Source organism: Homo sapiens, chromosome 15 (genome assembly GCF_000001405.40).
Source record: "Homo sapiens chromosome 15, GRCh38.p14 Primary Assembly".
Lineage (NCBI taxonomy): Eukaryota > Metazoa > Chordata > Mammalia > Primates > Hominidae > Homo > Homo sapiens.
In genome coordinates this window covers 90,391,676-90,404,622 of record NC_000015.10, presented here as the reverse complement: position 1 = coordinate 90,404,622, position 12,947 = coordinate 90,391,676, and the positions used below count along the sequence as shown (strand labels likewise).

The 12,947-nt window shown below is 40.3% G+C and overlaps 1 protein-coding gene across 2 annotated transcripts in view, besides 2 other annotated features; it reads right to left on the bottom strand.

Moving 5' to 3' along the window:
• IQGAP1 (IQ motif containing GTPase activating protein 1) overlaps nt 1-12,947 on the bottom strand; it is a 113,998-nt gene that overhangs the window by 97,617 nt on the left and 3,434 nt on the right. The window lies entirely within an intron of this gene.
• Nucleotides 8,593-9,092: an enhancer, noted in NCBI's record as "H3K4me1 hESC enhancer chr15:90938763-90939262 (GRCh37/hg19 assembly coordinates)". NCBI's record gives its function as "activates a minimal SCP1, AML or CMV promoter by ChIP-STARR-seq in naive H9 embryonic stem cells {active_cell/tissue: H9 hESC(naive)}" and the evidence as "EXISTENCE:reporter gene assay evidence [ECO:0000049][PMID:30033119]".
• Nucleotides 9,093-9,594: an enhancer, noted in NCBI's record as "H3K4me1 hESC enhancer chr15:90938261-90938762 (GRCh37/hg19 assembly coordinates)". NCBI's record gives its function as "activates a minimal SCP1, AML or CMV promoter by ChIP-STARR-seq in naive H9 embryonic stem cells {active_cell/tissue: H9 hESC(naive)}" and the evidence as "EXISTENCE:reporter gene assay evidence [ECO:0000049][PMID:30033119]".

Below are 12,947 nucleotides of genomic sequence, written 5' to 3'. Positions count from 1 at the left end.
TCTCAAAAAAAAAAAATTAAAGGACAAAGTGGAATGAATATTTATAACACCCACGGTGTACAACGAGCCAATTTCCTCAATATATAAAGAGCTCTTACCACAATGAATAAGAAAAAGATGAATAATCCAATAGAAAAATGAGCAAAGGATTCTACCGAAAAAGTTCACAGAAAAGAACATACAAATGGCTTTTAAACACATGTAAAGATGCTCATCTTCACTCATAATTAGATAATCCAAAATAGCTACAATGAAATACCATTTTCACCTATGAAACTGGCAAATGTAAAAAATCTGTAATACTCTGGGTTGGTAAAATTAAAGCGGAAACAGCCTTCTTATATGTACATTATTGACAGGCAGATGTGCAAACTGGTACAACCTCTTACGAGAGCAAATTGGCAATATTTTTGAGAACTAAATATGCATATTCCCTTTGACCCAGAAATTACACTTTTAGAAATTTATCCTGCAAGAATACTCATACATGCACAATGGCATACCTACAAAGTGACTTTTTATAACAGCAAAAGCTGAGGAGAAAATGTCCGTTGACAGGTTAACTTCAAAACCGAAAACTAAAACTGTGAAGGAAAAAAAGAGGCACTTCATTCCACATTCACTCATATGGAATGAATTTTAAGATGCAAAGCAAAACGGTGGCTCATGTCTGTAAGCCCAACACTTAGGGAGGCCAAGGCGGGCAGATAACCTAAGGTCAGGAGTTCAAGACCAGCCTGGCCAACATGGTGAAACCCTGTCTCTACTAAAAATACAAAAATTAGCCAGGCCTGATGGCGGATTGCCTGTAGTCCCATCTACTTGGGAGGCTGAGGCGGGACAATCGCTTGAACCCTGGAGGTGGAGGTTGTAATGAGCCGAGATCACACCACTGCACTCCAGCCTGGGCAACAGAGCAAGACTCCATCTCAAAAAACAACAACAAAAAGATGTAAAGCAAAATGTACAGTGTGCAACCACTTCTAAACAAATCAAAGTAATTTGTATTTACATGCACAGAATATCTCCGGAAAGAGACACAATCATGATAGCAGTTCCATGTGGGGAAAATAACTGAATAGCTAGAGAAAGAAGACTAAGGATATAGACTTTTTTTCAGTGTTATATACTTGCATAGTCTCTGAATTATGTATCACGTCTGTGTATTACCTATTTCTAAGAAAAAAATGTTTTAAATTTAAAAATTTTAAATTAAGACCAAATCTATCTAAAAAACATTCCTATGGGGATTCTCAAATTTTTAAGGAAAACCCCAAAAGTCAAGCCATTGTCAAACACTACCTTTTTAAACTATCAATTATGAAAAGGTATTGCCCAAACTAATGACATAGCATGTCTTCAGGGAAGAAACACATTTTTGTGCAGCAGTGTGATCGTAGCTCACTGCAGCCTCGAACTCTTGGGCTCAAGTGATCCTTCCACCTCAGCCTCCCGAGTAGCTGGAACTACAGGTGTGTGCCACCACGTTTGGCTTTTTTTTATTTCTTATATTTTGTAGAGACAGGGTCTTAATATGTTGCCCAGGCTGGTCATGAACTCCTGGCCTGATGCTATCCTCCCTCCTCGGCCTCCGTAAGTGTTGGGATTACTGGTGTGAATCACAGGGCCCAGCCCAAAAAAACATTTTGTTATAATAGTCATTTAAATAAAAGACAAATTTTGTTTACTTTTAGCTGTTTTAAAGGTCATCTGAGATGTATGTTACTTACAGTAAAATGACCTGCTGATTAATGCCTACTGCATGCATATCTGTGAGACTTTTTCTATTTAAATGTTATCTTTTTCCTATTTTTAATGATTGTAAGTTTTTTTTCTCTTCTTTTCAACTTTTCCTTTTCTAATTTTGCCCCCACTCCCTCTTGTATTCCTCAATTCATTCTGTTTTTAGGATCACCAGTTAATTCTATTTGAGAAAATATTTTTAGTTTCTTATGTTGCTCATCAATAATCCCAAGCAATAGTCTGACACTTTTTAACCTTATGAATAAATACCTATCAGAGTAATACTATTTCCTTCTGCTGCAGAAACCTCACAGTTCTTAGAGCCCAGTGTGTCTAAATCCCCAAACAGCTGCCCCAACAGAAGCCAAGCCCTAGGCTGGCAGCTGCCTCTCCAATATTCCTTCTGCTTTTTGTTATGATTTCCAATGAGTCAACAGGAAGGTATTCTGAGTAAAGAAGAAATAGAGCTTTTAGACAGGCCTCTCCTCCTCCCACAACCCCAAAAATACAGTTCTTGCCAAATGATCCAAAGCAATTTCCAATCCAATTTGCCACTCCTGTCTGTATGAGGTAACTCTTTAACAAACAAGAAAGTGGTAGGAAGGAACACCTTTCTAAGCTGAATTCAAAGCAGATACCAGGTTATGAAGAAGGGAAGCAATTAGGAAGGGTCCAACAAGCTAGTTAGACACAAAAATACATAAGACAACTGGAGACTTTCCCTCAGGTGGCAGGTGGAAGAGACTCCAAAATAAGTGGCAGGAAATTGATGGAGTTCCCTCACTGACTTGAAAACTACACAAGTTACTTAATGTCTCTGGGCACCAGTTAAAGAGGTTAGACTTAAATGTTGCCACTTCAGCATCTGCAGAAGTTAAGAGCACCAGCTTTGGTGTCACAAACCTGGGCTTGAATTCCAATATATGACCTTGGGAAAAGTGTTATCAACTCTATTTTTTTCCCTCTTTAAAATAAAAATAATGCCTATCTCACAATAATGTAATATGTAAATTTCATCATCATTCTGCTTAATTAACAGTAGTTACTACTGTTGTCATTATTTTTAGAACCAGAAGTATAGCAGCAGCAGACTAACATGGCAGTTAAGAGAAAGGACTTCAGAGTTCTTGCCAAACCTGAAATCTGGATCAACCACTTATTAGATGAATGAGTTAACCTCTCTGAGCTTTGCTTTCTTATCTGTTAAATGTAGATAATAAGCACCTCACAGGGCTTCAAGAATAGCTAATTAGATAAAGCATATAAAGTGCTTAGCACAGTGCCTTGCATGTAGAAAGTATGCAATAAACGGTACTAATCATGACAATGAGGAAGAGGGGGAGAGGCAAGGGGAATACACTGACTTTGGGACAGACAGAAAATATTTTAGATTATGACTGCCTTGCAAATTGCAGGTTTTTGGTTTTTTGTTTTGGGGGATTATTTTGGCTTTCCTTTAGCTGCCTTAAAGTACTGAGGTTTCTAGAATAAAATGCCTTATTGAAATAACTAATTCTTCCCAACATACAACTATTTTTTTAAAAAATTTTAACCCAACATTCAAACTTCAGCAAGTAAACTCTTACTCTTCAAAATAAACCATTAACCAGATCTTTCTTAAACATTAATATGTTTAAGATTTTTTTAATTCACGCACTGTCAAACCACAGAGATCAATCAGATTGCTAGGAGACTTCAGGAGAAAAATTAAGGAGCAGAGCCCTGATTTGATCCGGTAGGCCACAGGCCCTCCAGGTTCCACTGGCACTTCACTCGGCTAACTCAACGATATGGTCTCTAGGCAACCAAGTCCTGAGTTAAGCAAACAACCACAGTAATATGAATCACTTCCGGATGTTCTCACTTTGCCTACCAGCGCTTTCTTACACAAATACTTCTTGTCAAGGGGTTTATTTAGCACCAGCTAGAAACAACCAAGAGTCCATCAGATACCACAAGGCTTAAAAATGTCCAAAACAGGTTCCACTACCAACTGGTATCCCCAGATGTGACACTGTGAAGCAGAAGGAATTGTACAGCAATCAGAGGCAGGTCACCACACTAAGCCGGAAAATGAAATTCCTAGAACATGCCAACTTGGGTCCTCAAATGTATTTTTACTATTTTGTCATTAGGGACATTAAAATATATAAAAACAGTTGCTCTGACCTGTAAGACCAGAAGAAATACATGCCAAATGAGGTCAAACTAACGGGCCACACTTAGCCCAGCCAGATTTTTTCCCCAACCTTGACTGGTGGACAATCCATACACTCAGCTGCCCGATTAACACTGGTTTTTCATGGCCACATCTATTTCAACACCTACGGATTATAAAGGGAAGTGGTAAACTATGTAACCCAACTATCTTGGCTACCTGCTCCTTTTTTTCACCTTGAAAGGATCTTTTGTGCCACACTCTTCTTCATGAACTAAAAAGAGATCATTTAAGCTATTAACAAGAATGGAGACGGAAAAGGAATTAATTAAAAATATAAACTACAATAGGACAAAGCAACTACCATTAACAGAACCAAGGAAAAAATATCAAGACTGTAGAAAATCAAGTCAGTGCAACAAAAGATGTATGTGAGACACATACCTAGAACGCTTATTTAACGTAAACAAAATGAAGAAGAGCCATAAAATAGACTACACAGATCTAACTAATCACCACAGGCATAATGGACAATTTCCTAAAGCTAAAATAAACAAACAAGAGACATTATAAACCAAGAAGAGTCTCCACATTGCAGGCAAAATTGCTAAGCCAATAGCAACCCTAACATGTTAACTGGGGAAATGTTTATACCTCAAGGAACAACAATTCTACAAATTTCAAGTCACGAAAAAAGGAAAAAAAAATCAAGTTACTTGTCATAGAGTTAAAATTAAGCTAGCTTCAGATGTTGTTTCTCAATGATAAGAAGTATAACAAAGTCATATATATTTTTCTCAAAAAAATGAAATATGGTTCACCATAATTTAAAAGTCCAGAACTAGAAATATATATATACATAATATTTGACAAAACAGACATGAATTGCTAATAGGTAATAAACAGCTGGTTTTTAAAGGATATTAGAGGCCTGTAATTCCATCACTTTGGGAGGCTGAGGCAGGAGGATCACCTAAGGCCAGAAGTTCGGGATAAGTTCCCCTTACAATCAACATTACAAGACCCCATCTCTACAAATATATAAAAAGTAAGCCAATCGATTATTAAACTGAAAATTTTGGCAAGGTTTTAGAGAAATTAAACTATCTAGACTTCGAGTTGATAGAAGAAATTACAAATCGAAAGACTGACATTTAAACTCAATAAAATTTAAAACTACAATGAAGAAAACAAATACAATGAAACATCAAGGGAAAATGTTTGTAGCAAATACGAGAGAAAGTCAAGTCCATGTTATAAAAGAGCTCACAAAAGTTAACATCATGACCCTAGAAGCCAGGCACATAACAAAAACAGAAAATTTGCATAAGAAAATAATACTGATAAACAAATATGTAAGAAAATGTTTAAACTCTCCAGCAATCAAAGCAATAGAACTTTAAACAGGAATAAACCTAAATAAATTATGAACATTAGATGGCCACTGAAAATAGTAAATTAAGACAATACAGGCCAGGTGTGGCTGCTCACGCCTGTATCCCAGCACTTTAGCGAAGGATAGCCTGAGCCCCAGGAGATGAAGACCAGCCTGGCAACATAGAGAAACCCCATCTCTACAAAAAAAAAAATTTTTTTTAATTAGTTAGGTGAGGTGAAGTGGGCCTATAGTCCCAGGTACTTGAGAAGCTGAGGTAGGAGTATCTTTGTTTTTTCAAGGAAGATTTCCTATATTCACTTTTTTTTTTTTTTTTTTTTTGAGACAATGTCTGGTTCTATCACCCAGGCTGCAGTACAGTGGCGTGATCTCAGCTCACTGCAACCTCCACCTCCCAGTTCCAGTGATTCTTGTGCCTCAGCTTCCAGAGTAGCTGGGATTACAAGCACACGCCACCATACCCAACTAATGTTTTTTGTATTTTTAGTACAGATGAGGTTTCACCATGTTGGCCAGGCTAGTCTCGAACTCCTGGCATCAAGTGATCCACCTGCCTTGGCCTCCCAAAGTGCTGAGATTACAGGTGTGAGCCACCGCGCCCAGCCAAGATACTTAATACTTTATTGTAATATAGGCTTTGTGCTAGATAATTTTGTCCAACTGTAAGCTAACATCAGTATTCTCAGCACAATTAAGGTGGACTGGGCTATGATACTCAGTAGGTTAGGTGTATTAAATGCATTTTGACTTACAATATTGGGATATAACCCCCTCCTAAATCGAGGAACATCTGTGTAGTAACTTAAAAATCTGAATTTGTGATTATATCTAAAAATTATATACACAGTTTTTCCTTTTACTTAATCCCTTCTTTTCCTTTATTATAAAATTATCACTGTAAAAAGCATTTTAAATATATAGTACAGTATTAAGTAAAAAGGAAATCTCACACCCTCTACCCCCATTCCACTCCCTAGAAGTATCTTCTGTTTCTGGTGTTTTCCTTCAGATAAAAGCTAAGGTCTGAAGTGAAAAAACTAGGGCTACCAACCTTAGGACCTTGAAAGTGCCCAGAAAATTCCTGTCATCTTCACATTAAATCTGCTTTTCCTTTTGCAGATTTAATGTGAAAATTCAGGAGGCCGGGCACAGTGGCTCATGTCTGTAATCCCAGCACTGTAGGAGGCCAAGGCGGGTGGATCACCTGAGGTCAGGAGTTTGAGACCAGCCTGGCCAACATGGTGAAACCCCCGTCTCCACTAAAAAATACAAAAATTAGCTGGGTATGGTGGTAGGCACCTGTAATCCCAGCTACTTGGGAGGCTGAGGCAGGAGAATCGCTTGAACCCAGAAGGCAGAGGTTACAGTGAGCCAACATAGTGCCACTGCACTCCAGCCTGGGCAACAAGAGTGAGACTCCATCTCAAAAAAAAAAAAGAAAAAAAAAAAGAAAAGAAAAAATTCAGGATATCCTTTATCCAGGTGCTTGGATAAAAGTTTATTGAGTTCAGGCCGGGCGTGGTGGCTCACGCCTGTAATCCCAGCACTTTGGGAGGCCGAGGCAGGTGGATCACGAGGTCAGGAGATCGAGACCATCCTGGCTAACACAGTGAAACCCCATCTCTACTAAAAATGTAAAAAATTAGCCAGGTGTGGTGGCAGGCGCCTGTAGTCCCAGCTACTCGGGAGGCTGAGGCAGGAGAATGGTGAGAACCTGGGAGGCGGAGGTTGCAGTGAGCCAAGATTGTACCACTGCACTCCAGCCTGGGCGACAGAGCAAGACTCCGTCTCAAAAAAAAAAAAAAAAAAAAAAAAGTTTGTTGAGTGCCTACTGTATTTCACTGTGCCAAGCAATTAACCATCACAGCAGCTCTGTAAGATGCATAGCGTTCCCATTCTGCAAAGGACAAATTTGGGCTCACTCCCTGACGTTAAGCAACTTGCAAAACCAGAATCAGAACTCACACCTGCCAAAACAGAAAGTCTGATTCTTTTCACTGTGGCAAGATATCTCAACATTCAAGATTTTCAAAGAAATTTTATTCATACTTTTGAATTTCTATTTTACTTAATTATTCGTACTATGAGAATATAGAGCCACATGACTTTTCTTAATAATAATGGGTACTAACTAGTTCAACTCTTTACATTTCTTAATTTTAAATTTTGCTAGGCTGGGTGCAGTGGCTCACGCCTATAATCCCAGCACTTTGCGGGGGCCGAGGCGGGTGGATCACTTGAGGTCAGGAGTTGGAGACCAGCCTGGCCAACATGGTCAAACCCCATCTCTACTAAAAATACAAAAATTAGCCAGGCATGGCAGTGGGCACCTGTAATCCCAGCTACTCGGGAGGGTGAGGAAGGAGAATCGTTTGAACCCGGGAGGCAGAGGTTGTGGTGAGCCCAGATCGCACCACTGCACTCCAGCCTGGGCAACAGAGCGAGACTCCGTCTCCAAAAAAAAAAAAAATTTTTTTTGCTAAATTTTCAGCTACATGGTAGGGTAAAAAGCTTTCGGCAGCCACATTAGGAATGAATACTCCCCATTTGCAACAGTGTTACAATACAGAAAAGCACTCAGCTTCAACCACTTTTAATAAATACACTTTTAAATGCAACCCACTTCTTATGGTGGAGCCTGTCCAAGGCCGTTGCACTAAATTAATATCCGAAAAAAGAATGGAGGTTTATTCTTAAAATAGTGTATGTCACCATTTTAAGAGTTAAGAATAAATCTCACCCCATACTTCCCCTTGGTAATTATAAATAAATGAATGGATCAGCTCCTAGTGCCACCGTGCCATTACGCAGCTACATGCTATGGTCCTTTAGTCACACTGGGTCTCATGAGATAACTAGACTTCTCATCTGTACAAAGAGAGCTTGGGTCACCATCCTAAAAATGATCCCCCTCAAAATTTAAGTGATGCTCCTCATTTTGAGAATTCTAGAAGTGCTGGGCATGATATTCTTCCTAGTCACCTCACCTACCCATTTTGTTTTCTTGCTTCTTAAATGTCTTAACTTCTATTTTCATGATCCCAGGGTGCCAGCCTGGACATATCCCAACATTCATGGAATTCTGAAATCACTTACAGGGAGAGGAGATCTGAAGAGCCCATCCCAGAAAATGCTCTATGCCAACAGTAAAGACATATGCACAAAAAAGACTTTGTTCCCAAGAACTAATTTCTTTCCAAGATACCTTTTCAATTCCTCTAAATTACAGAAAGTGACATACTTCTACTTAGTGCTAAGCTCGACTTATCACCGTGGAGTTGCTGACAGTCTCCAACCAGCCAGCGTTCCTACCTTCCCTTCTACAAGAGGGGTGTGCCCTATTCCTTGAGCTAGGGTACGGGCACTCAGCAGCAGAAAGGTGGCCCATGACAGACTTGAAAGCGCACACCAGGAATTGTCTGAAACTCAGAGAATGCTGGAATTAACTTTCTTCCTGTGACCTTTAACCTAGCTGAATTTTCTTCCATTTCCAGTACTAATCGTACTTTCTTCTCACTTGCAGAATTCCCTGTTCTGTCCTGCCTGACACGTTCTCTTCTTGGTTCTTTTCACCTGAACCTTATTCTGATCTGTTACTTCCTCCTGTCCAAGACCTAAGCACTGAACATACCTCACATATTTAAATGTTACCTCCTTCAACTGAGTGAAACGGTATTCATTGCTCCTATACAACTGCTCTTTAGCCGGCCGGGCGCAGTGGCTCACGCCTGTAATCCCAGCACTGTGGGAGGCCAAGGCGGGCGGATCACGAGGTCAGGAGATCAAGACTATCCTGGCTAACACGGTGAAACCCCGTCTCTACTAAAAATACAAAAAATTAGCCAGGCGTGGTGGTGGGCGCCTGTAGTCCCAGCTACTCGGGAGGCTGAGCCAGGAGAATGGCGTTAACCTGGGAGGCGGAGCTTGCAGTGAGCCGAGATAGCGTCATTGCACTCTGGCCCGGGCGACAGAGCGAGACTCCGTTTCAAAAAAAAACAAAAAAACAAAAAAAACCCCGCTCCTTAGCCTAAACAAATGTAAAACTCAATAAGAACAGGCAAAAGGATAAAAATAAGCTTCAATTTAAGCATAAATAATAATTTAAGATGTATCCTTGATCTATTGTGCAGCCCTTAGCAAAAAGCCTTGAATCGTTAGGTGATATCTCATTAGAACAGCGGCTTAATTTCAATATTGAAGCTGCTCTCCAAACAATGAAGAAAAGCAGAAATCTCTACATTTTCTATTTCTCAACCACTCCCAGTGCTCATTTATAGGAATTACCCCTAAATTTTCCCAGTTAACCTTTCAGGGAAACACAAACCCACAGCCACAGAAAACTTTCGTCTCTCTACACTTATACTCTCTTACTTATACTCACTGCCTCTACACAGTCATATTCACTCTCTACACACTCCTCTCTTTTCCCAAGAAAGAGCTCTGTTACAGGCAGAGGAGAAAATGGAGTGCCCTAGGATACACAATGGGGCCACTGTACTAAAAGGTGGAGCTTTTAGTAGAAGTAGAGGTATTATAAATAGAACTGAAGAGGGGAAGCTTTTCTCCCTCCAATCTCTATGATCTTTATTCCTGGCCTTAGAGTTACTGTAAATCCCAGATATTGGGGCTCCTCCAACTTGGGAGGGGTGGAGGTTATGGAGGAAACAGGATGGAACCAAACCAAAAAGGCAAACTGGGTCTAGCGCTAGAGGGGAAAGAGGGGCCCTCGGAACACACAAGATACAGGCCGGTTCACCAAGGTAGGAGAAAGAACTGGAAGAGGTTAATAGCTCACTAATAACGAAGAGCATGCCATTTGTCCTTGGTGCACTCACAACACTTTTTAGGGGTGGCAGCAGCCACATAGGTGGCTGACAGGGATTCTAGTCCTCTTTTCTCACCATAACATTCCCAGGCTTCTTTCCTTTGTCCTCTCTAGTTTACAATCTAAATAGGTGCTTCCAACCTTGATTTTTTAAAATCAAAGCCTTAAACAACAACAAAAATCACCACACCCAGTTTTATGATTGCCTCCATAAAATAGACCAGGCACCTTTCCATGATGCCAGGCCAATGGGCAGGGTGTGCTAGGGTAATATGCCACTATTATGCCCTCCCTTAAAAAAAAAAAAAAAAACCTGAAGATCATCACAAATGTCTCCACTGCCTTTTTTTTTTTTTTTTTTTTTTGAGACAGAGTTTTACTCTTGATGCCCAGGCTGGAGTGCAATGGCACTGTCTCAGCTTACCGCAAGCTCTGCCTCCCGGGTTCAAGCAATTCTCCTGCCTCAGCCTCCCGAGTAGCTGGGATTACAGGCACCCGCCACCACGCCCGACTAATTTTGTATTTTTAGTAGAGACGGGGGTTTCTCCATGTTGGTCAGGCTGGTCTCGAACTCCCGACCGCCAGGTGATCCGCCCACCTCAGCTTTCCAAAGTGCTGGGATTACAGGCGTGAGCCACCGGGCCAGGTCAGTTACTCCTTAAGTATGCAAAAGCACTCAACAAAAAAACACCTCAGGGGATCATGCCTGCTGGGTGGTCTTTAAAGGAAATGGGCTACTTTCCTATACTGGAAAAAAACACCTGACAGAAAAAAAGACGCTCTAGAGTAGCTGAAAATAAAATGCCTGGCTAATGCAGAACCTGATGAAGAAATAGGATGAAGTGTAACATTCTACTGAGGTCATGATATCCCAGCATAAGGCAGAGTTTTAAATCTTGTTTCTCAACAGGGGGAGGAGTGGGGGCCAAGGAAGGAGCATCGGAATCACTAGAGACATTTAAAATACAGTCGGCCCTCCTTATCCATGGGTTCTGCATCCATGGATTCAACAAACTATGGATCAAAAACAGTCAGAAAAAAATAAAGAAAGATATAAATAAAACAATACAGTGTAACAACTATTTATGTAGCATTTACATTGGATCAGGTATGATAAGTAATCTAGAGATATATCTAGAGTAATCTAGAGGTATGATAAGTAATCTAGAGATGTTTTCAAGTATATATTATGCAATGTGCTAAGGTTATATGCAAATACTATGCCATTTTATATAAGGAAGTTGAGCAACTGTGGATTCTGATATCTGCAGGTGTCCTGGAACCAAACCCCCACAGATACCAAGGGACTACTATGTGTCTGGATCTCCCACCCCGACCTACTGAACCACAATCTCTATGGTAGGGCCCAGATAGGTGTATTTTTTTTTTTTTTTAAGTTCCCCAGGTGATTCTAATGCACACACCTGGTTAACAACCATAGTTAAAAAAATGATGAGGCCAGGCACAGCAGCTCACGTTTGTAATTCCAGCACTTTGGGAGGCTGAGACGGGCGGATCACCTGAGGTCAGGAGTTTGAGACCAGCCTGGCCATTATGGTGAAACCCAGTCTCTACTAAAGATACAAAAATTAGCCAGGCGTAGTGGCGGATGCCTGTAATTCCAGCTACTCAGGAGGCTGAGGCAGGAGAATCGCTTGAACCCGGGAGGTGGAGGTTGCAATGAGCCAAGATTGCGCCACTGCCCTCCAGCCTGGGCAACAGAGCGAGACTGTACAAAAAAAAAAAAAAAAAGATAGAAACATTCTTCAATCAAGAAAACTACAAGTAGACCAAAAAACTCAGGCTTCAGTTTCTTCATTAAATGAGATGGTTGAACTAGATTAGCAGTTGAACTAGTTATTGGTAGTGTTTGGGGGAGGGGAGGTGTTAGCCAAAACACCCTCTGTAACAAGTGAATTTTATTCAAGAAATTCAACAGTAAAACAAAAGCAGAGCTACTTTGGATGGGGGAAGGAAGGTGTGTTGAAGCTCTTCCCTCTCACCCCCAGGTCACCTCAGTGGAATCACCAAAGCTCCACAGAGCACAAGATGGTCTCTCAGAACAGCTGCAGCTTCCAAATTCTTTGACCTTCCAAACCTTGAAATCCACAATTTAAATGGCAGAGATCTTACAGTTTTTGTTTTCTTATAAACTTCATATGAGAAAATGCCCCCTTTTCTAGTGATATAGCATGCCTTGCTATGTCATCTTCTATTATTTAGAAAGACAAGTGTTATCCTCCTCACTTAAGTCATCACTGAAACCCAAGCTCCAGTTTCCTGGAAGTTTTAAGCTCAGAAAAGAAGCCTAGACACAAGAGGGCATGCAAAATACAGGTTAGTGTTTGCCCCAGGAGAAGGAAGAATGGGACCAGAGGGGCACAAAAAAGACTTTAAATGTAGCGATGTTGGTTTTGTTTTGTTTTGTTTTTAGAGGAAAGGGAAATATCTCAAATGTTAACATTTGTTAGTTCTGGAATACAATGATGTTTGTTGTACTGTTCTCTGGACTTTCTTGTAGCATTTTAAGATTTTCAGAATTAAAATACACACATACACACACACTTGTTTATTAGCACCACTTCAAACACCCTTTTTATTAAACGTTAATTACAAATATTTCATTATCCCTCACTTGACTTTTCCACCAAAGCTCACTTATAGAATACATGATCTATAATTACATCTACCCTGGGACTCTGCAAAAGAACACAAGCACCAGAACAAAAGAAATGAATCACTGATAACAAAATGACACTCTAAAATTAAGACCACAAGGTTGTGGGGCATCTGAAAAAGGAAAAGAGCAGCTTTACATTCACTTC